Source organism: Homo sapiens, chromosome 5 (genome assembly GCF_000001405.40).
Source record: "Homo sapiens chromosome 5, GRCh38.p14 Primary Assembly".
Classification (NCBI taxonomy): domain Eukaryota; kingdom Metazoa; phylum Chordata; class Mammalia; order Primates; family Hominidae; genus Homo; species Homo sapiens.
In genome coordinates, this window is record NC_000005.10 from 115431592 (window position 1) to 115456531 (window position 24940).

Genomic DNA, 24940 nt, shown 5'->3' on the forward strand with positions numbered 1-24940 from the left:
CAAATATAAAATTACAACGCTATCTCTGGTTGTTTATCTCACCACGCAGAGATAAACAACATTAACATCTTGGTATATTCTTTCTAGCCTAATTTTTCTTTATAAAATATTTTTCTCACATAGCTGAAATTGTACAGTTTTATAACCTGATTTTTTTCACTTGACATTAGGATTTCACTTAGCATTTTCTCATGCTTCTGCTACTATATTGTTCATATGTCATGTTAATATTACTGGAGTGTGCTACTGAGAAACCTGTCCCAAATCATTCCACTGTAATTTTTTCAGGAAAGAGTCAAACCCTCTTCCTGCTGGAGAAAATAAATGTCATTTCTCATGACAAACCTAAGGTTTTCAGCTATATAAAAATGGCCTGTGTGGCTGACTACTGATGCCCCACTCTTATTTCTCTGGATCTAATCACTTGGAGAAATGGTAGACTTTTTTCTTGCCAGCTGACAGTTTCTCATCTAAAGCACCAAGACTTTCTTCTTCTCTGCCTTGGGGTTTTCTCCAAGATTCAAAGCCCCAGAAGCAATCTTCAACCAATGAGTGGAGAGTTGGTAGATAAGTACCCCATTTTCTTGAACCTCTTTGGCAAGGTTTGGAAGCCATTCTACTCAGTTACTCTAAGGTTCCTGGAAAGACCAATCCCCAGGTGCCCATTTGGGTGGAATTCACATACCATTGACATTTTCTCCTTTCCTGTCTCGCTGTTCCCACTTAGTCAGTGATGCACCCTGAGGCCCACTCCTGAATAACTACCCAAACTTGGCCTTGTTTCAGGTCTGTTTTGAGGGAGGATCAGACCCAAACAAAAACAGTTACCTAAAAGCTTATCAAGAAAGAATGTAGAGGAGAAAAATATTGTTTCACATCTGGCCAATAAATTATTTACTACTACTAATCAGGTGCCCTATGTGGAAAATATAAGAGCTTACATCACTAACTTAGACTGTCTGAAACCTTCCTTTCTGAGCCATCCTTATTCCCTTCCAGGTCCTTTGAAAATTCTGTCCATAATTTTACGCAAAAATAGAATGGTAGTTCCCATTTCTTTGGTGGTCATTCTTTAGAACACACTTATTGTTTGTCTTCAGAGCTATTTAGAAACAGCCCTGTCACCTTCAGTGGCTGTTCTGTGAAGAATCTGGAGGCACACTAATTTGAAATGTCAGTGGATTTAAACAGATTGAAGTGTCTGTTAAATCCAACCAATAGGTTAATAGTCTTTGTTTATACAGCTGTGGTTTGATATAAACCTGCAGGAGCAGTTGAGTACCACATAAATAACTTACTGAGGAGTGCTTAAGGCCAATTCATGAAGCAATAGATATTTCAAATAAATCAGAGAGCCAAAGAGTCTTTGAAACCTCAAACTGTTTACAAAAGAACTGAGACTTTGTCTTCCCTCACAAAATAATGTGAACCCTTACCACACTTCTGGACATTCTCTACTAAGAAGGATTTCATATCCCAATGATTTAAGAGCCCAGGGCCCTTCCCTATTGCCTTTTTCTTAGGACCCTCATTTCCTATACTAGTATGCCTTTTTCTCCTTCAGTACTTGCTTTTATGCTACTTGTTATTTAGAAACAGATCAAAATCTTTAGAGGCTAAGTTACAGGACATCACCCATTCCTCACTGATACATAATTGAAAATCAACACAATTCTGAATCACAAAATAAGTATAAGAAAGACAACAAAGTTCTGATATTTCTTGTGATGAGTATTTTGATACTTTTTTGAAATATCAAATATATTTCAAAAATATTTCTTTTCTACTACCTTCTGCATGTGCTGAGTTTGCCTATTCAATAACTTTGCCAGTGACACATCTGAGATTATGAATAAGTTTCCAATGTAGAATTATGAACTGAAAAGCTAACTGAAGTCCCAAGTCATATAATTAACTATACCTCATATATATGCTAAGAGTCAAAGATTAGAAGCAAAGGCAGGTGGTGAATTGATTTAACAGGAAAGTGGGATGTCTTGTCAGGAATTGTAACTGTGATCAAATGAGGGTGTTACCAGTGAAAAACAAATTAATCTCCACATCACCAAACAGGTATCCCCAGCAGCTTCTCTAATAGCTCCTGAAAACAAATTGACATTAAGATAGCAAGCAGAAAGGTCTGGTAGCACAGCTAATTAATCAGCACTCACATTGGGTTTGTTTGAAAAAAATCTTAGCTTTGTTTGACATAGATGAACGGTAGCAGAACTTCCAAGTAATTTAAATGGATTAAGATAAAACACCCAACCTTAGGGCTCTTTTAATTGACAAGGAGAGAAATCAAACTCAAATTATATCAAAGAACAAAAGAGGGTAGAAGTTTATGGATCATGTATCTAGGAAGCCCAATGTCTTTGGGGAAGTCCAGGGACTTTAGGCAAGGCTGGATCCAGGGGCTCCAACAGTGCCATCAGAGCAACATTTCTCTCTCTCCCTTCCTCCATTATGGGTGCTAGAGTTTATGAGTCATTCCACAGACTGAAGCCTCTTCTTCACAGTTCCAGTGAGACCCAGGACTTTCCCAACTGGGCAAAGATTGCACTACTTGCTCATCCCTTCATCTCAGACTCTTAGCCTGACAGTCATGCTCAGTCCTCAATCTGGAGGTCAGGCTGCCCATATACATATAACCAGAAATGAGAGAGGTATGGTTTCCCAAGAGATGCTGAGCAAGCAAGGAAAGATGTTCACTCTGATGTCTTGCCCCTCATTTATATTATACATTGATTGAAGGAGCAACCATGTAATGCATTTTCATGCTCAAAGCAGCTATCATGGATCCTTCTCTCTAGTAGGTACCCATCTCCACTTATTGACCAGTTGATTGACTGGTGTAGAACACTCAGCAACTAGTGGGTTTTCCTTTGAGCAAAACCCACACAATGGCACTTTGCAGCAAGAACCCAGAATCTCACCAAGCGTAATTCTTACATACACAGGTTACTAACGAGTCTTTGTAGATGCCTGCCTATCTTGGAAAGGATTTTAACTTCAAACATAAAGCCGAAAGGCAGATCAGATGTGATAACTGACTCCATTTGCATACGGATGCCCAGCAATCCATTTTTGAGTGGTGAGCATTTTTGAGTGAGAGCATTTTTGAGTGGTGAACTGTGGCTGGTCCTATATATAGGTAGTAGCAGCTACTTACATAATATTTTGACAACTCTCCCAAGCACTTTCAAGTCTCTAATTTCCCTGCCACCCATCAATCAAAGCCTGTGTGGTAGGGTATTATAGAAAAAACATATTTTGGGAGACGAAGCAGGAAGATGGTTTGAGTCTAGGAGTTCAAAACCAGCATAGGCAACATAGGGAGATCGCACCTCTACCAAAATAAAAGATTAGCTGGGTGTGGTGGTGCATGCCTGTGGTCCCAGCTACTCAGGAGACTGAAGTAGGAGGATCACTTGGGCCTGGGAGGTTGAGGCTGCAGTAGGCTGTGATTGCACCACTGCTCTCCAGCCTGAGCAACAGAATGAGACTCTGTCTCAAAAAAAGAAAAAGAAAAAACACTGGGTTGGGATGGGTTCTAGTGACCACCCTGCTATAAATGGGTTAATAAGATGTGTGATTTTGAGTAAGTCACTTTGTCCCTCTGAGTATCAGTGACCTCATCTATAAAGCAAGGAATTCATTCTCTTCAAGTTCTGGCATTCTGTAAGCTCTCCAGCAGAGTAGTAGCTCTCAACCTTGGCTTCATGTTAGAGAAAGCTTGAGAGCTTTAAAAATAACGCTGATTTCTAGCCATAACCTGTACAAATTACATAAGAATTTCTGGTGGTGGGATCCAGGCATCCATACATGTTTTAAATTTTTCCAGGTGATTCCAACGTGCAGCCAAGGTGAGAATCACTATTGTGTTTCACTCCGTAATCTTCTAGAAGAGCAAACTGACAGAATCAGAAAAGATCCCCAGCTAAATACTCCCCAATATCCTGTCTGCAGCCAATGTGGGCCTGCAGCTAGCAGCATCTGCCATCAGCATTTCACTTGCTGCATTAGAAATTATTTTCTTTTATTGATGCTCCCAGTGCCATCTGGCACTCAGCATATTCCAGGGAGAGCTTCCAGAATTAGGCCATCATTGTGGTTCGTGCTGGATTCTTAGCAAAAATGGTTTACCTTAAACCATTTCAGCCAAAGTATATTTTTCACTATTAAGAGAATAGAAAACTTCAAGGTACACTATATTTTGCATAATGACCTAGGAAATGAGACGCACCCAATTGATAGCTTAACCTTTTCCCTCCTCTTATGTAATAACACATATTTTTGTTCAATTACATGAATCATCAAATTCACTTTAACATCAGAATACATTGAAAAACAGGGGGAAGTATAATCCTTAGCAATGAGCTGCTTTTTAAAAGAAAAAAATCATAATTAGTTGAGCTTTCCATAGCTTGATAATACTAACCAGCACTTAAGTCACTTTCAATGAGAGGTTGGTCTGTTTCATTGAACCTTTTTTCCTAGGGGAAAAAAAAATTTGCTATACAATTTCATGAGTCACATCCATACCTCCTGCCACATAATCACATGTTCCATGCAAGCCTGTCTCCCACGTACAAGGGCTTGCTTTTCACCTTTGTTTGTTTCTTCTTGTCTCTGCTGTGTGAGCTCTGATGCCCTTTGAAAGTAGCAAGACAGAAATAACCTGGGTTGAAGTTTCAGAAAGTTACCTTGTCTTTATGAAGCTTTATTCACTTACAGGCTTCTAAAAATATATCCGACAGGATTCAAAAGCATAACATAAATGAAGTCAATGAAAAGATGAGCCCTCTTCACTCTTCACTTTTTTCCTAAGCCTTAAAACAAGCAAGCATTGTGGTGATTAAATAAAAATAAATGCCTCTTGATAACTTACTGAGGAGTGCTTGAGGCCAATTCATGAAGCAATAGATGTTTCAAATAAATTAGAGAGCCAAAGAGTCTTTGAAACCTCAAACTGTTTACAAAAGAACTGAGACTTTGTCTTCCCTCACAAAATAATGTGAACCTTATTGATAAACCTCTTGATAAACCATGTTAGCCTCATTTTTCTTCAGAGAGGCTCAAACTCATGACATTTCCCTCTTTGTGTAGGGAGGTCCCTGAATGTAAAAGGGGTCTTGTGCCTGATTTATATGGCTTCAAATCCAGTAAACCATACACATTATTGTAGATTGCAATTCTATGGGTATGCTCAAAATTTATGGTTCTGCAAAAACCCTCCCCATAGTGATTTCCCACAGTCATTTGGACTTTGGCTTCTCTTAATTAATCACACGAATAACACCAGACTCCCATTCTCCCATGGCAACACTTACATGCGGTTAAGTAGAAGTCACCCCTTTTGAAGGAGTTAGTTCACCTTTCTCTCTGCCACTACTTCACTCTCTTATGTCACCATTTCTTCTTTGGGGTATTATATTTAGGAAAGCCTCCTCTGCTCTCAGGTTTCCTGAAACCTTCTGGGAGTTTTAAGGGTCTTGTATTAGTTAGGGTTTTCTAGAGCAACAGAACCAATAGGATAGATTAAAATATAGATGTATATATATATATTCTATATGTACACACGTATATGTACACATACATATATGCATATATACACACACATGGGGAATGGCGAGGAGAGAGAATGATGTCAAGAAATAAGCTTTTGCAACTGTAGAGACCGGCAAGTTCAAAATATGTAGGGCAGGCTGGCATTTCAGGTAAGAGTTGAGCTTGCAGTCCTGAGTCTGCAGGTTAGGAACTAAGGCAGAGTTTCTATGTTAGTCTTTAGACAGGATTCCTTGGACATGAACAGACACTTCTCAAAAGAAGACATTTATGCAGCCAAAAAACATGTGAAAAAATGCTCACCATCACTGGCCATCAGAGAAATGCAAATCAAAACCACAATGAGATACTATCTCACGCCAGTTAGAATGGCAATCATTAAAAAGTCAGGAAAAAACAGGTGCTGGAGAGGATGTGGAGAAACAGGAACACTTTTACACTGTTGGTGGGACTGTAAACTAGTTCAACCATTGTGGAAGTCAGTGTGGCGATTCCTCAGGGATCTAGAACTAGAAATACCATTTGACCCAGCCACCCCATTACTGGGTATATACCCAAAGGAATATAAATCATGCTGCTATAAAGACACATGCACACGTATGCTTATTGTGGCATTATTCACAATAGCAAAGACTTGGAACCAACCCAAATGTCCAACAATGATAGACTGGATTAAGAAAATGTGGCACATATACACCATGGAATACTATGCAGCCATAAAAAATGATGAGTTCATGTCCTTTGTAGGGACATGGATGAAATTGGAAATCATCATTCTCAGTAAACTATCACAAGGACAAAAAACCAAACACCACATGTTCTCACTCACAGGTGGGAATTGAACAATGAGAACACATGGACACAGGAAGGGGAACATCACACTCTGGGACTGTTGTGGGGTGGGGGGAGGGGGGAGGGATAGCATTAGGAGATATACCTAATGCTAAATGACGACTTAATGGGTGCAGTACACCAGCATGGCACATGTATACATGTGTAACTAACCTGCAAATTGTGCACATGTACCCTAAAACTTAAAGTATAATAATAATAAAGTAAAATTAAATAAATAAATAAATAAATACGAAGACAGCTAAAACCAGCCAATATAGGGGGAAAAAAAAAAAGAAACTTCAGTATCTGCTTTTGAGGCCTTCAACTGATTGGATAAGGCCCATGCACATTATTATTCTGTAGTGGGTGCTAATAACTTTATGTTGCCTTGGCATCTATTTTTAAATATAAGTTTAACTTTCTCATACCAGAAGCAGGCCTCAGTCACCGCTGATGTAGTTTCCAATACTATATCCCACCCAAACATTTCTAGCCAGCGGTCAGAGATAGAATTCAGGGGTATCTCTCCTGCCTAGCAGGCTGGGTTTCCTGCTTTCCCACTGCTTCCTGTAAACAGACCAATTAAATATTTGTCCATGAACTTAAAGTGACCACCGCCCAGTCACACTGTAGAACTAGTGCCTGTTTTCTGTAAACCCACCAGTTAAAGCTCCCCACAGGAAACCTTTTTGAATAATGCCCTGGACCCAATAAAGGCATTGGCCCACTGGTTCCTTCACTCTCTCTGTCTCTTTGTCTTTTCTCCCTGACCTCCATGTGTGTGTGGCCTCCACATATGCTGTATATTCTCCAGGGTCTGTAAGTACTAAAAACTTTACAACTGGCCAGGCATGGTGGCTCACTCCTGTAATCCCAGCACTTTGAGGCCGAGGCAGGTGGATCACTTGAGGTCAGGAGACTAGCCTGGCCATCATGGTGAAACCCCATCTCTACTAAAAATACAAAAATTAGCCTGGAGGGAACCTGGGAGGCAGAGGTTGCAGTGAGCCAAGATTCCACCACTGCACTCCAGCCTGGACTATGAAGCGAGACTCTGTCTCAAAAATCAATCAATCAATCAAATAAAACTTACACATGATTGTTTTGTCATTGAAGCTGTGCCTACAATCAAACCCCTGATGGCAAGGCTGCCTGAAAGGGACCCATGCAAGTAGATTCCCTCCTGGTGCTCTTTTGTCTGGACCTCTCAGTTGCTGGGGACAGTAAATAGCAACTAACTTGGTAGAGTTTCATTCCAAACAGATTAGTCTGCCTTAATAAAAGTCTCCCGAGTATAAATGTTAACCACATTTTTAAAGTACTTTTACAGCAACATCTAATAACTTAACTTTGGTCACACAAAAATACTTGAAACTTTTTCTTCCCTCCTCCCCCGTTTGTATATTTTTTGCCTTACTTTAAGATCTTTACCTATTATTTGTTCCTTAGCCACTAATTATAACTGTTTTTTACATTTTTTATTTTAAATCTTCATAATAAAGGATTGAAAATTGTACATAGCACCATTACAGCAATGGGGTATTCTGAGTTTTATTATAAATTTACCTCTACTGGTGAGTTTTATACTTTCATGTGTTTTCATGATAGCAGTTATTATCCTTTTGTTTCCAGTTGAAACACCTTCTTAAGCATGTCTTGTAAATCCAGTCTAGTGGTGATAAATTCCCTTGGTTTTTGTTTGTCTGGGAAGGCTTGTATTTCTCCTTAATTTCTGAAAAACAAATTTGCTAGAAATAAAAATCTCGTCTGGTAGGTTTTTTTCTTTCAGGACTTGGAATACATCATCCCATTCTCTCCTAGCCCACAATGTTTCTGCTGAGAAATCTTCTGATAGTCTAACATGAATCCTCTTATATGTGACTTGACACTTTTACAGCTTTCTCTCTTTGTTTTTTGGCTGTTTGATTATAATCTGCCTCAGAGAGGGTCTTTTTGAGTTGAATCTAATTGAGGACTTTAAGCGTCCTGAATCTGGATGTCCATATCTCTCCTCAGATTTGGGATTTTTTTCAACTCTTATTTTGTTAGATTTTCTGTGCCCTTCTCCACCCTTCTCCCTCTGACTCTACTATAATGCAAAAATTTGTTTAATGGTGCCTCGTAAGTCCAATAACCTTTCTTCATTCTTTTTTATTCTTATTTTCTTCTTTTTGACTGGGTTATTTCAAAAGGTCTGTCTTCAAGTTCAAAAATTATTTCTTCTGCTTGACCTAGTCTGTTGTTGAAACTCTCAGTTGTATAATTTATTTATTGAATTCTTCAGATTCAAGATTTCTGTTTGGTTCTTTTTGTAATTTCTTTTTGTGGAATTTCTTACTCAGATCATGAATTGCTTTCCCGATTTCACTGAATTGCTTGTCTGTATTCCCTTGTATCTTGCTGAGTTTCCTTAAGATCATTATTTTGAATTCATTTCAGGCATTTTATAAACATCCTTTTATTTGGGGTCTACTGTTGGAGATTGCTCCTTTGGAGGTGTCATGTTTTCTTGCTTTTTAATATTTCTTGTTTTCCTATATTGATATTTGCATATCTAGCAGAATTGTCACTTTTTCTAATTTTATGGAGTAGTTTTCACAGGGAGAGACTTTTTCTTATGGATGGGTCCTACAGTACTGGTTGGTAATGATACATTGGCTTTGGTTCTGGGTGGACTTGGTGGTGTAGTCTCTGTGCAGTTTCTTCAGCTATAATGTTTGTAAGTGATAGCTGTGATTGCCTCAATGGCTTAGGCTATGGGAGTTTATGATGACAGCAGCATGGTTTTGCTGGGGGCAGGGGTGTTGGGCTGGTTGTTGGGGTACACCAGCCAACAGTATAGCTGTCTTTTCAGGGAGCAGGGTTGCTGACACTCTGGGTGAGGCAGGCCAGCTGGCTGTGCAGCAACTTCCCCACACTGCAGGTCTGCCTGTTCCCCAGGGGTGCCTTTCAGGTTTGGATGCCAGGGTCCCATTCATTCTGTCTAGCCTCTGGGCAGCTGAGGTCATGATGATTCATACACCTTTGTGAACTTGATGGAATGATGGTGGAGCAGAGAGAATCAGTGGCTACTGGCTGCCAGGGCAAAATGCAGTCTAACAGTGGTCTCTAGCAGTGGGTCTGCTTTCAAGATGGTGCCATGACACAGCAGCTTAGGTTACAGAGGTTACAGGATGCACAATGTGGGCTCCTATTCTGAGGCAATGCATTTACATGAACTCCTGGCAACTGTCCAAATGGGATTTGGGCCTGTAAGGATTAGGGGACTCTTCTATAGCAAGGACCACTGGCGTCTGTGGTAGCAATGGGGACCACAGAGGATCTCCAGCTCACTTTTTCCCCATAAGAATCTGCTCCCCACCACCCCCTAACACCAGGCTGCATCTGGTAGGGAAGACAGTGTAGCAGGGGCAGGGAGCCGTGCTCCCCTCTTTATGGTGCAATCTGGGAATTCTGTGCTTCACAGGTATATTGTTGCTCTGCTGGTACTCTACAGCATCATTCCTCAGTCCCTCCAGTCAAAATACAGTCTTTTACTTGTTTTCATCCCCTTTTGTTGGGGGACAAGTGCCAGGCAACTCTAGTTTGCCCTGTTGTTCACATTAGTCTCCCACTTACTCTTAAATGTTTTTGTCTCCTGACTTCTGTGCTACACTCCCATCTAACTGAAGCTGCTCACTGGAGATTTCTTGACGACTGATTAGTTATCAGATTCTCTTGGGGCCACACTGTCCTTGGCTTTCAGCTGCATTTGGGGTTGTTACTGCGTCTTTCTTCTTGGCTCTTTTGCTGATACTATATTTTCAGGATACTCTTCTTTATCTGACATCTTAAATGCAGGCATTTCCCTAAAGTTTTATCCTCAGTTGAATTCTCATCTCCCCCACAATCTTCTTACAAATTTTATCTACCCTTGGAGGTTCCAAGATGGCCAAATAGGAACAGCTCCAGTCTACAGCTTCCAGTGTGAGCAATGCAGAAGACGGGTGATTTCTGCATTTCCAAGTGAGGTACCGGGTTCATCTCACTGGGGCTTGTCAGACAGTTGGTGCAGCCCAAGGAGCGTAAGCCAAAGTAGGGTGGGGCATTGCCTCACCCAGGAAGTGCAAGGGGTCGGGGAATTCCCTTTCCTAGCCAAGGGAAGCCGTGACAGATGGTACCTGGAAAATTGGGACACTCCTACCCTAATACTACGCTTTTCCAACGGTCTTAGCAAACAGCACACCAGGAGATTATATCCCACGCATGGCTCAGAGTGTCCCACGCCCATGGAGCCTCACTCACTGCTAGCACAGCAGTCTGAGATGGAACTGCAAGGTGGCAGTGAGACTTGGGGAGGGGCATCCACCATTGCTGAGGCTTGAGAAGGTAAACAAAGTGGCCAGGAAGCTCAAACTGGTTAAAGCCCACCACAGCTCAAGGAGGCCTGCCTGCCTCTGTAGACTCCACCTCTGGGGGCTGAGCATAGCTGAACAAAAGGCAGCAGAAACTTCTGCAGACTTAAACGTCCCTGTCTGACAGCTTTGAAGAGAGTAGTGGTCCTCCCAGCACAGAGTTTGAGATCTGAGAATGGACAGACTGCCTCCTCAAGTGGGTCCCTGACCCCCGAGTAGCCTAACTGGGAGGCACCTCCCAGTAGGGGCCAACTGATACCTCATACTGCTGGGTGACCCTCTGAGATGAAGTTTCCAAGGGAAGGATCAGGCAGCAACATTTGGCATTCTACAATATTTGCTGTTCTGCAGCCTCCACTGGTGATACCCAGGCAAACAGCGTCTGGAGTGGACCTCCAGCAAACTCCAACAGACCTTCAGCTAAGGGTCCTGACTGTTAGAAGGAAAACTAACAAACAGAAAGGACATCCACACCAAAACCCCCTCTGTACTTCACCATCATCAAAGACCAAAGGTAGATAAAACCACAAAGATGGGGAGAAACCAGAGCAGAAAAGCTGACAATTCTAAAAATCAGAGCTCCTCTTCTCCTTCAAAGGAACACAGCCCCTTACCAGCAACAGAACAAAGATGACGGAGAATAACTTTGATGAGTTCAGAGAAGAAGGCTTCAGACGATCGGTAATAACAAACTTCTCAGAGCTAAAGGAGGATGTTTGAACCCATCGCAAAGAAGCTAAAACCCTCTAAAAAAGATTAGATGAATGGCTAACTAGAATAAACAGTGTAGAGAAGACCTTAAATGACCCAATGGAGCTGAAAACCACGGCATGAGAACTTTGTGATGCATGCACAAGCTTCGGTAGCCAATTCGATCAAGTGGAAAAAAGGGTATCAGTGATTGAAGATCAAATGAATGAAGTGAAGCGAGAAGAGAAGTTTAGAGAAAAAAGAGTAAAAAGAAATGAATAAAGCCTCCAAGAAATATGGGACTATGTAAAAAGACAAAATCTACGTCTGATTGGTGTGCCTGAAAGTGATGGGAAGAATGGAACCAGGTTGGAAAACACTCTTCAGGATATTATCCTGGAGAACTTCCCCAACCTAGCAAGGCAGGCCAACATTCAAATTCAGGAAATACAGAGAACGCCACAAAGACACTCCTCGAGAAGAGCAACTCCAAGACACATAATTGTCAGATTCACCAAAGTTGAACTGAAGGGAAAAAATGTTAAGGGCAGCCAGAGAGAAAGGTCGGGTTACCCACAAAGGGAAGCCCATCAGACTAACAGCAGATCTCTCAGCAGAAACTCTACAAGCCAGAAAAGAGTGGAGGCCAATATTCAACATTCCTGAAGAAAAGAATTTTCAACCCAGAATTTCATATCCAGCCAAACTAAGCTTCAAAAGTGAAGGAGAAATAAAATCCTTTACAGACAAGCAAATGCTGAGAGATTTTGTCACCACGAGGCCTGTCTTACAAGAGCTCCTGAAGGAAGCACTAAACATGGAAAGGAACAACAGGTACCAGCCACTGCAAAAACATGCCAAATTGTAAAGACCATCGATGCAGTAGAAACTGCATCAACTAATGAGCAAAATAACCAGCTAACATCATAGTGACAGGATCAAATTCACACATAACAATATTAACCTTAAAGGTAAATAGGCTAAATGTTCCAATTAAAAGACACCGACTGGCAAATTGGATAAAGAGTCAAGACCCAACAGTGTGCTATATTCAGGAGACCCATCTCACATGAAGAGAAACACATAGGCTCAAAATAAAGGGATGGAGGAAGATCTACCAAGCAAATGGAAAACAAAAAAAAAGCAGCAGTTGCAATCCTAGTCTAGAGGGGCACCCAGCTGTATGAGGTGTCAGTCTCTGTCCTAGTCTCTGATAAAAGAGACTTTAAACCAACAAAGATCAAAAGAGACAAAGAAGGCCATTACATAATGGTAAAGGGATCAATTCAACAAGAAGAGCTAACTCTCCTAAATATCTATGTACCCAATACAGGAGCACCCAGATTCATAAAGCAAGTCCTTAGAGACCTACAAAGAGACTTAGACTCCCACACAATAATAATGGGAGACTTTAACACCCCACTGTCAACATTAGACAGATCAACAAGACAGAAAGTTAACAAGGATATCCAGGAATTGAACTCAGCTCTGCACCAAGTGGACCTAACAGATATCTACAGAACTCTCCACCCCAAATCAACAGAATTTAAATTCTTCTCAGCACTACATTGCACTTATTCAAAAATTGAACACATAGTTGGAAGTAAAGCACTCCTCAGCAAATTTAAAGAAGAGAAATGATAACAAACTGTCTCTCAGATGACAGTGCAATCAAACTGGAACTCAGGATTAAGAAACTTACTCAAAACCACTCAACTACATGGAAACTGAACAACCTGCTCCCGAATGACTATGAAGTCAGAATGATGTCATGACTTCAGACAAAATGAAGGCAGAAATAAAGATGTTCTTTGAAACCAGTGAGAACACACAACATACCAGAATCTCTGGGACACATTTAAAGCAGGGAGTAGAGGGAAATTTATAGCACTAAATGCCCACAAGAGAAAGCAGGAAAGATCTAAAATTGACACCCTAACATCATAATTAAAAGAACTAGAGAAGCAAGAGCAAACACATTCAAAAGCTAGCAGAAGGCAAGAAATAACTAAGATCAGAGCAGAACTGAAGGAGATAGAGACACAAAAAAAACCCTTCAAAAACTCAATGAATCCAGGAGCTGGTTTTTTGAAAAGATCAACAAAATTGATAGACTGCTAGCAAGACTAATACAGAAGAAAAGAGAGAAGAATCAAATAGATGCAATAAAAAATGATAAAGGGGATATCACAACCGATCCCACAGAAATACAAACTACCATCAGAGAATAGTATAAACACCTCTACACAAATAAACTAGAAAATATAGAAGAAATGGATAAATTCCTGGACACATACACCCTCCCAAGACTAAATCAGGAAGAAGTTGAATCCCTGAATAGACCAATAACAGATTCTGAAATTGAGGCAAAAATTAATAGCCTACCAATCAAAAAAAGTCCAGGACCAAATGGATTCACAGCCAAATTCTACCAGAGGTAGAAGGAAATAAAGGGTATTCAATTAGGAAAAGAGGAAGTCAAATTGTCCCTGTTTGCAGACAACATGATTGTATATTTAGAAAACCTCATTGTCTCAGCCCAAAAGAGGAGCTGGTACCATTGCTTCTGACACTATTCTAATCAATAGAAAAAGAGGGAATCCTCCCTAACTCATTTTATGAGGCCAGCATCATCCTGATACCAAAGCCTGGCAGAGACACAACCAAAAAAAAGAGAATTTTAGACCAATATCCCCGATGAACATCGATGCAAAAATCCTCAATAAAATACTGGCAAACTGAATCCAACAGCACATCAGGAAGCTTATCCACCATGATCAAGTTGGCTTCATTCCTGGGATGCAAGGCTGGTAAAACATACACAAATAAATAAATGTAATCCATCATATAAACAGAACCAAAGACAAAAACCACATGATTATCTCAATAGATGCAGAAAAGGCCTTTGACAAAATTCAACAGCCCTTCATGCTAAAAACTCTCAATAAGCTAGGTATTGATGGGACATATCTCAAAATAATAAGAGCTATTTATGATAAGCCCACAGCCAATATCATACTGAGTGGGCAAAAACTGGAAGCATTTCCTTTGAAAACTGGCACAAGACAGGGATGCCCTCTCTCGCCGCTCCTATTCAACATAGTGTTGGAAGTTCTGGCCAGGGCAATCAGGCAGGGGAAAGAAATAAATGGTATTCATTTAGGAAAAGAGGAAGTCAAATTGTCCCTGTTTGCAGATGACATGATTGTATGTTTAGAAAACCTCATCATCTCAGCCCAAAATCTCCTTAAGTTGATAAGCAACTTCAGCAAAGTCTTAGGATACAAAATCAATGTGCAAAAATCACAAGCATTCTTATACACCAATAACAGACAAACAGAGAGCCAAATCATGAGTGAACTCCCATTCACAATTGCTTCAAAGAGAATAAAATACCTAGGAATCCATCTTACAAGGGATGTGAAGGACCTCTTCAAGGAGAACTACAAAGCACTGCTCAACGAAATAAAAGAGGACACAAACAAATGGAAGAACATTCCATGCTCATGGATAGGAAGAATCAATATCGTGAAAATGGCCATACTGCCCAAGGTAATTTATAGATTCAATGCCATCCCCATCAAGCTACCAATGACTTTCTTCAAAGAATTGGAAAAAACTACTTTAAAGTTCATATGGAACCAAAAAAGAGCCCGCATCACCAAGTCAATCCTAAGCCAAAAGAACAAAGCTGGAGGCATCACGCTACCTGACTTCAAACTACACTGCAAGGCTACAGTAACCAAAACAGCATGGTACTGGTATCAAAACAGAGATATAGACCAATAGAACAGAACAGAGGCATCAGAAATAACACCACACATCTACAACCATCTGATCTCTGACAAACCTGACAAAAACAAGGAATGGGGAAAGGATTCCTTATTTAATAAATGGTGTTGGGAAAACTGGCTAGCCATATGCAGAAAGTGGAAACTGGATCCCTTCCTTACACCTTATACAAAAATTAATTCAAGAGGGATTAAAGACTTAAATTTAAGACCTAAAACCATAAAAACCCTAGAAGAAAACCTAGGCAATACCATTCAGGACATAGGCATGAGCAAAGACTTAATAACTAAAACACCAAAAGCAATGGCAACAAAAGCCAAAATTGACTAATGGGATCTAAATAAACTAAAGAGCTTCTGCACAGCAAAAGAAACTACCATTAGAGTGAACAGGCAACCTACAGAATGGGAGAAAATTTTTACACTCTACCCATCTGACAAAGGACTAATAACCAGAATCTACAAAGAACTTACACAAATTTACAAGAAAAAAATCAAACAACCCCATCAAAAAGTGGGCGAAGGATATGAATAGACACTTCTCAAAACAAGACATTTATACAACCAACAGACACATGAAAAAATGCTCATCATCACTGACCATCAGAGAAATGCAAATCAAAACCACAATGAGATACCATCTCACACCAGTTAGAACAGTGATCATTAAAAAGTCAGGAAACAACAGGTGCTGGAGAGGATGTGGAGAAATAGGAACACTTTTACTCTGTTGGTGGGACTGTAAACTAGTTCAACCATTGCAGAAGACAGTGTGGCGATTCCTCAAGAATCTAGAACTGGAAATACCATTTGACCCAGCCATCCCATTACTGGGTATATGCCCAACGGATTATAAATTATTCTGCTATAAAGACACATGCACACATATATTTATTGCAGCACTATTCACAATAGCAAAGACTTGGAACCAATGCAAATGTCTATCAATGATGGACTGGATTAAGAAAACGTGGCACATATATACCATGGAATACTATGCAGCCATAAAAAGGATGAGTTCATGTCCTTTGTAGAGACATGGATGAAACTGGAAACCATCATTCTGAGCAAACTATCGCAAGGGCAGAAAACCAAACACCGCATGTTCTCACTCATAGGTGGGAACTGAACAGTGAGAACACTTGGATACAGGGTGAGGAACATCACATACTGGGACCTGTTGTGGGGTGGGGGGAGTGGGGAGGGATAGCATTAGGGGATATACTTAATGTAAATGATGAGTCAATGGGTGCAGCACGCCAACATGCACATGGACACATATGTAACAAACCTGCACGTTGTGCACATGTACCCTAGAACTTAAAGTATAATTGAAGAAAAAAGAAAAAAAATTTTTGTCTACCCTCTGACTTCATCATCTTGATAAAAAAGACTCCAAAATGTGCATCTCTAATTTCAAACTTTCTCAGTAGCTCTAGACTAATAGGTATTTTTAAAATATTCAGGACCTTTTCACCTGACTGCCAGCCTAAATCTCAGTATGCCAAAAATTCATTGTGTAGGGAAAAGAAAGAGAGATCAGACTGTTATTGTGTCTATGTAGAAATGGAAGACATAAGAAACTCCATTTTGACCTGTACCCTGAACAATTGCTGTGCCCTGAGATGCTGTTAATCTGTAACTTTGCTCCAACCTTGAGCTCACAGAAACATGTGTTATATGGAATCAAGGTTTAAGGGATCTAGGGCTGTGCAAGATGTGCCTTGTTAACAAAATGTTTACAGGCAGTATGCTTGGTAAAAGTCATCACCATTCTCCAGTCTCGATAAACCAGGGCACAATGCACTGCGGAAAGCTGCAGGGACCTCTGCCCTGGAAAGCCAGGTATTGTCCAAGGTTTCTCCCCATGTGATAGTCTGAAATATGGCCTCATGGGATGGGAAAGACCTGACCATCCCCCAGCTCAACACCCGTGAAGGGTCTGTGCTGAGGAGGATTAGTAAAAGAGGAAGTCCTCTTGCAGTTGAGATAGAGGAAGGCCACTGTCTCCTGCTTGCCCCTGGGAACTGAATGTCTCGGTATAAAACCCGATTGTACATTTGTTAAATTCTGAGATAGGAGAAAAGCCTCCCTGTGGCGGGAGGCGAGACTTGTTGGCAGCAATGCTGCTCTGTTACTCTTTACTCCACTGAGATGTTTGAGTGGAGAAAAGCATAAATCTGGCCTACGTGCGCATCCAGGCACAGTACCTTCCCTTGAACTTATTTGTGACACAGATTCCTTTGCTCATGTGTTTTCTTGCTGACCTTCTCCCCACTATCACCCTGCTCTTCTGCCGCATTCCTCTTGCTGAGATAGTGAAAATAGTAATTAATAAATACTGAGGGAACTCAGAGACCGGTGCCGGTGCAGGTCCTGCATATGCTGGGCTGGTCCCCTGGGCCCACTTTTCTTTCTCTATACTTTGTGTCTTACTTCTTTTCTCAGTCTCTCGTCCCGCCTGATGAGAAATACCCACAGGTATGGAAGGGCTGGCCCCCTTCACATTGTCCACCTCCTTGCTAAATTGTGTGTGTATATGTATATATATATATGTATTTTCCAAGAACTCAGGCTTAAACTCTAGGGAATTTTCTGATCACTTACTGCCTTAGCCCCAACATTGACCCTGTTTCCAAGCACTATTGATTCTACCAGTCCAGTGTTTCAGTCTCTCACGTGGTCCTCTTCTTTCATGTTCTCACTGTCACCAATCTGGTAAAGGCTCTTCATTCTCTTCTTTCTTGTAATAGCGACCTCATTGTTCTTGCTCCACCTGGCAAATGAGCCTCTTGGATGCTTCCAATCACATTGGTTTCTCATTCTCCACACCTTTACTCAGGTGCTTTCCTCAGCATCCCCTTTTCAGTAAGTTACCCTGGAATCCATAGACTTTTCTCTGCCATTTTGGCATTTTACCACGTTACTTTGTTGCAATTTGTGCACCTCTAACTTTTCATTATTACCTTAGTTTGTCTTGGAAGCCCCTGAAGTGATGAAGAGTTTACAATCTGAGAGGACAAATAAGCTACATCCACAACTATAAAGCCCTTGTAGAAAGTAATAATATGTGTTCATCTTGCTTCCTCTTCTAAATATAAACTTAGGGTAATAATTTTGCCTTATATTCTTCTATTCCCACCCTCATTCAAAGTTCAGGATAGTGTGGGACAGAGATTTCAATAAACCTCTGCTACTTAAGGGACTCGTAGACTTGAAAAATATCTGAAGAGAACAAATCTGTCTTGAGCCAGAAGATGTCCCAACTAGAGGTAGCAAACTGGTGGCCATGGGGCCATATACTGATTGCAAATATATTTTAATGATCCTCCTAAGGTTTTAAATATTTAAATTAATTTCTCAATCTTTATTAGGTTGAAAGATTACATACAAAAATCTGGATTTCCAGCTTCTCTTGAAAAACAATTACAGTTAGCAACACTAGACCCACTGAATGACCCTGGACAACAATTGGCTGGGGCTGACATACGTGCCTTTTTGGGACACAGCCAAGACTCTCCAGGTAGCCACAAGTTTTTCCCACCCTATTTAAGTTACCAGCCTGGTCCCTGTAGGCAGAGTTTGGAATCCCTGATTGTACCCCACCCACCAGTCAGGTTCTTCCTCCAGCACCATGCTAAAAAATATTTCAGATTTCTCAATGACCTCTATTTCCCAGGCTGATAAATGAAGGCCCATTTCGCAGGGGTCCTGTGGAGCCATTTCCTAGACCAATTACTGCCTGTGACCTCATTCCAGTTCCTCCTGCCTTTCTTCCCCTCTGTTTAAAATGAAAGTAAGCCAAGACCCTAAACAAAAACAGGCTTTCATCCTCAACCTCCTTAAAGAACAAATTAGAGCCTAAGCTTTAAGAGCAACTATTGTCAGCCCATCTCAAGCCAGAGTGTCTCCCCAGAACAAACATCAGCAACTTTTACATGGCCCAGAGGTCCAGGGCCATGGGGAAATAGAGGGAATTTCCCAAGTTAAGCAAGAATTCAGTGCTACCAGTTCTGAAAGGGTTTTTAAATACAATGTGAAAGTTCCAGAAGGCCTCTGAATTTTGTTTGTAAAGCAGATATGCAGCAACTTCTGGGAAGCTTCCAGATGATTAATGGAATCCACACTTTCTATGTGGCTATCCCATTTACTATAGACTCAGCCTCCAGAACTGAGCAAAATCGTACCATCTGTGAATCAACTGAACTCCCCTTGATACCCATTATCATAGCAGAAATACTAATGATGAATATGAAATGTAATTGCTGGGTGGGGCCGAGCTAGGATGAGACGTGAAATGAGGCAATGCTTCAAGTGAAAATGTGTGTTCAATTAATGTGGCATTAAATTCCTCAGGTTTTATTGTAATCTTATTCATTCCCCACAGTCGATCTTTTCTGAGAAAATTAAAAAAAAAATACATTACAATTGCACATTGGTTCTGATGTGACTATGCTATCGTTCTCAAACTTTTGAGAAACACTATTAGATGTGTCAGGAGTGTGTTTCCTAGATTGTTTGTAATACAACTAAGGGGCAGGAGGCTATCACCTTGAGAGGTGCCACAACTCTAAACAAGCAGGGGCCTTCCTTGTTTAAACTGTCTTCTTTGACTGATTTGTGACTAGAAATTTACCAAATGCAGCTTCATAGGGGTGTGTGTGTGTGTGTGTGTGTGTGTGTGTGTGTGATGACGAGGAGCTCTAGCTGTGCAGCTGAGCAGGTGTTGGAGAAGCTGAAGGTTAATGATTTAATTCATCAAGTGTCCCAGCCTCCCATGTGCACAACAGCAGCCCACACCCAGCCACTCCCATTGTTCTGGTGGGTGGGACGGAGGGCTCTGGGCACAGACTCAGGTGGGCCAGTCCGAGGGCTGTGGCAGGCAAGGTGAGCAGTTCTGGCAACGGGGTGTGGGTGGGCTCCCACAGACCTAGACAAAGGCTCTGCTCCTACATGCAGTATCTGGTGAAAATAATAACAACATTAAAGAATAACATGAGCATATAGAGTTCCAGGCCTCAGCAGGACTGACAGTGCTTCTCAGCAGGGGCCCCTTGCTTCAGAGCCAGATTAGCTAAGTGCTAACCTGAGTAGGGGTCGCTCAGCACTCAGACCCTCTCCCCGCAAGGGCACTGAATCCTGCACATCTACTGGAAGCCCCAAAAGTCGTGACCCCTGCTATTTCCCTTTCCCCACCTCTCTGTGTCTGTACAGACCTATTAGCCCAGAGGTCACAAATTGCAGCCAAGGGCTGGGGTCTGCCTGCAGGGGGGTTTTGTTCATCTAGCAAAGTTTGATCTTTTTTTCTTTACCCTGAAAACCTTCACTATGGCCCTCATCAGCTCACTGGCTTGCATTGACCACTTCACATGCTCTTATCTGCCCTGCAGGTGAATGTGATCCCTAGACCTTTAACACCTGGCTCTGAGTCCTGCCCGCACCTTCCAGGCACCACTCACTCCAATGGCTCCACTCCTGGGCTCCTTGATACAGGTACTCACAGTCCTACCACACGACTTGATTCTTGTTGATGGTTTAGTGTATGCTTATCTCAGTATTATTTTTGTCAGTATACATGTGCTCTGTCTCTTTTCTGTTGTAAACAGTGAGCTCCTTAAAGACATGGATTACAGGTATTTCTCCACAGGTTCTCTTAGTAGTGGGTAGGAAAGGAAAACAGTTGTGAAGATCCAGCTCATTTCTTCTCATAACATCCTTCAAGACGTAACAAAAGAGATCTGTTACACCCATTCCACAGGTAGGGTATCAAGGCCCACAGACTGATGAAATCAATCACAGACCATCAGTGGGCAGGGCCTGAATCTGAGCCTAGACTTTCAACTCAGAGCTCTATTAAGTTTCTTATCTTCCTTTGACCTATCTAGGCCTTTTTCCTACAAGTGAAATGAAACAAAACAAATACTTCTTTCATCTAAGTGAAGAGAAAATAGAAGAAACCAGTTAAAATTTTCCTTTCTGTTACTCATGGTGGAGGCAAATGAACAGTGAAGCAAATTAGCCAAGTTGAGCCACTTTTCTCAGCAAAGCCGTACTCTCTGTATGCTTCTATTATGCTTGTAGGAAGAGTCCAGAGTTTCCTGTACACCTCACTGAGTTCCTGAGCCCTTACTGAATGCTCAGGGGAGCTTAGGGTATGCTGAGGCATGGTTCAAAATTCCACATAAATGCAGCCAACTTGGAGGTGTTTTGAGCTGTGGAATGCAAGTGTGTCTTTGCTTGGCAGGAAAAAATTGCTCCTTTATATCTTATTCTCACTGCTCTAGGAAAATTGTAAAAATGACAAAGTTACTCCAACACCTGTCCCCACCCTGCAGTGAAGTGGAAGTGGGGAAGGAGAATCATTGATGATGACCACGGTTTACTGCCAGCTCTGCTGGTAGAGGCAGGGCTCATTTTTATGTTGTCTAGTAAAATCGAGCATGCAAGTGTTCTTGAAATGAATATACCAATAACAAGGAAAGAAGGGCATATTTGGGAAGGGCAGAGGCTGTTAGGAGAGAGGGGAGCTGGTGCAATTAAACTGCTTAATTTCCTCTGAGTAGAGCCAGAGCAGTCAGGCACTTGGTTGTTGCTGAGTGGGAAACCTCTCTGTCCTTGGGGTGGTTTAAGGTCTCCAGCATATCCCACATAATGGGGTGGAGCAATCGGTGCTGAGACCTTACTCTTAGAAGCCAATTCAAGCCAGGCCTCATTCCAGGTGAGGTCGTACCTGCAGCTGAGCTAGCATTAGAATATCTACTGATTCTTAGATTGGCCTATCTCAGTGCCACAGGACTGGCTTGAGGCCTAGAACACAGTAGGAAGATAACCTGGTAATTCACCTGAGCTCCAAAAGGGGAGGCCTTAATTTCCACAAAATCCCAAAGTCATTCAAACAACTTTGGAAAGCCTTTCAATCCTCCAAGCAATCCTTCCACCCTGCCCAGCCTCAGGACACCTCCTCACTTTTTCTGTATCTCCACTTGAGGTGACACATTCTCACCTGACTGGGTCTTTTTAGGTGATAGTATCTTCCAGTGACTTCATGAGATGCCTGAGCAATGGCCCAAGACTTAACAATATAGATTCCATTCAAATACCTCTAGGAAGCCTCCAAGGTAGAAATTCAATGGCAAGAGGTCAGCACACCTTGGCTGGCTCCTAGGGGCAAGTGGATTAGATTTAATTTAATAACATGAATAGATAATTCATTAACATGCTTCAAAACTCAAAATGATGTCAGAAGTGCCCTTTAAAAAGTCTAGGTCCCTCTCCCTCACCACTAGCTCATCTATCCCAGTCTCTACTTCTCAAAAGTAACCATTTTATGAGTTCCCTGAATATCCTTCCAGTGTTCCTTTATGCAAACACAGGCAAATACGTACTCTTTCCCATCCCTTACACAAAATGTAGCAAATTATATACAAAGTTTTGCATTTTGCTTTTCCACTTAATAATATATCCTGGCAATTTGTATTAATTTACTGAAAACTTCCTCACTCATTTTTGTAGCTGCATAGTGTTTATGTGGTTCTGCTATAATTTATTTAACTGGTTTCCTACAGATGAACCCTTAGATTGAATTTAATCTTTATTATTACAAAACAGAGCTGCAGCTGAAAACCTTGTACATACATCTTATTATACATATATAGGTATGTATGTAGGTAAATCCCCAGAAGTGAGATTGTTTGGAATGCAACTGTCAATGCATTTGTAATTTTAAGGAATATAACACAACTGTCCTCCATAGACCTGGCCTGTTTGACCCCTCACAAGTATTGTAGGAAAGTGCCTGTTTGTCAAGTGAAATGTTGGAGAGGAAACAGTTCCTTGTGCCAGGGCAGCCCTCAAGACTCCACGTGAAAGAGAGGTGAAAGACAGGAGACGGTTTGTGTTGCACTGCGTGGCACTCAGAAGAACACTGGAATGAGTTTCAGAGAAGCGAAATCCACTTGAGTTCCTGTGGGCCTTAGAAAGTGTTCTGCAATGGGATTGCCCTTTGGGAGACCTCTTTCAGAGCAGAAGTTGAACAACTGCCTTACTCCTTTGATGAAGGACTCAAACATTATTTGAGTTTTTGAGCATATGATACTTGCAGTGTCAATAATTCAAATCCTGGTTATAGCAGGAGGGCAAAGGGGCCATGCAGCAGAGCCCTGGCCTGGGAGTTGGGATTTGTGTGTTCTAAGTTCACATCTGCCTTTCTGTGACTGAACTCACCTCTCAGCTTCAGATGCCTCACTTGTGCAATGGTTAAATGATTCTTGCCCTTCCTTTCTTTCGGGATCATTGAAGAAATCAGATAATGTGGACAGAAGCCCCCACAAACTGGAAACTGCTCTTTAAATGTAGGAGTTATTATTCCTGAAAGGCAGTGTCCAATCAGAATGCCAAGAACTGTGGGTCTGGCAAGGCAAATGAATGAAAAGTAGGTCATGAGAAACCGAGTCCGTTGGTTCATGGAGGGTAATCTGGGTCGTCTGTGGTGAATGCACACGTCAACCTGTTCTACCCATTGCAGACAAGGGCTCTGATTGGAAACCCTCTGACTCCTCCGTGCTTCTTGGCCTTTGACAAGTTTATCACAGATGGGAGAAGGACATTCTGTTTCTTCAGTGTTATGGGCTGACTCACTTCCCTCTTCTCTGCAATAAGCACAAAGGCCAAAGTCAGTCCACTCTACCAAGAAACAGCAAAATGGCTCTGAGAGTGGTGTCCTTCCGGATTGGTGGTAAGGAAAATATGTCTATGAATATTCATTCACTGCTCATTTAGGAGTGTTCTGTGTAAAGACTCTTTGAAAGCTGATGAGAATGGGCATAAAAGGTTTGATTAATTCCTGAGTCAGCTGGCCCCTACCCCAAAACACATGCAATGATTGTCACAGAGAGCTGGTTTACAAAGAAAATGTTTCTGCAGATGTGTGGGCTTGGTACTGCCACCGCCACCCACTCTCCAACAAGAATAAAACAGACTCTGGGATTGGGCTGGGCCCTTTAGGGTTAAGCCACAGATCCTAAAGTCAAATTAAATATCAGCTCCTGAAGGGAACATCCCCAATGCTCACATTTTCCAAGATGTCAGGTCTGAGTATAGGGGACCTCTATCTGAAATTCCTCCCCTTTCCTCTCTGTGTATTCAGGTCCCATCTATCCTTACAGACATCGCAGGCTCTACTGGCCCTGGTGAAGTCTCGCCTGACTGCTTCATCTCACAGGGATATTTCATTCTTTTGCAATCAATGAACTCTTGTAGGTCCCTCCCTCTAGAGAGTTAATTACACACACTTGCCACCCTGTCACGTCTCCCTGCATTGTTGGCTTACTATAATAATGATCTTCATTATCATTACCTGTTTATATGTTCTTTCTCTGCTCAAGCGATCCCACATTCATTTTCCCTCAACAACATATACTGATCACGCAACATGTACCCTGACTCACTGATGAGGAATCAAATATAAAGATAATAATAATGATGATGTAATAACCCCAAAACAATATTTACAGAGTACTATACCCCAGCTTCTGGGCTACACACTATCTTATTTAATTCTCACAACAACCATTTGAAGAAAGGTTTGTCATTATCCCCATTTTACAGATGAGGAAACAGGCTCAGAAAATCTAATAAATCTGTCTGAGGCTACACAGCTAGCGT

General features: G+C 41.5%; 1 annotated feature.

Moving 5' to 3' along the window:
- Positions 4468–4668: a silencer, noted in NCBI's record as "peak5426 fragment used in MPRA reporter construct". NCBI's record gives its function as "represses an SCP1 promoter by STARR-seq MPRAs in K562 erythroleukemia cells {active_cell/tissue: K562}" and the evidence as "EXISTENCE:reporter gene assay evidence [ECO:0000049][PMID:32103011]".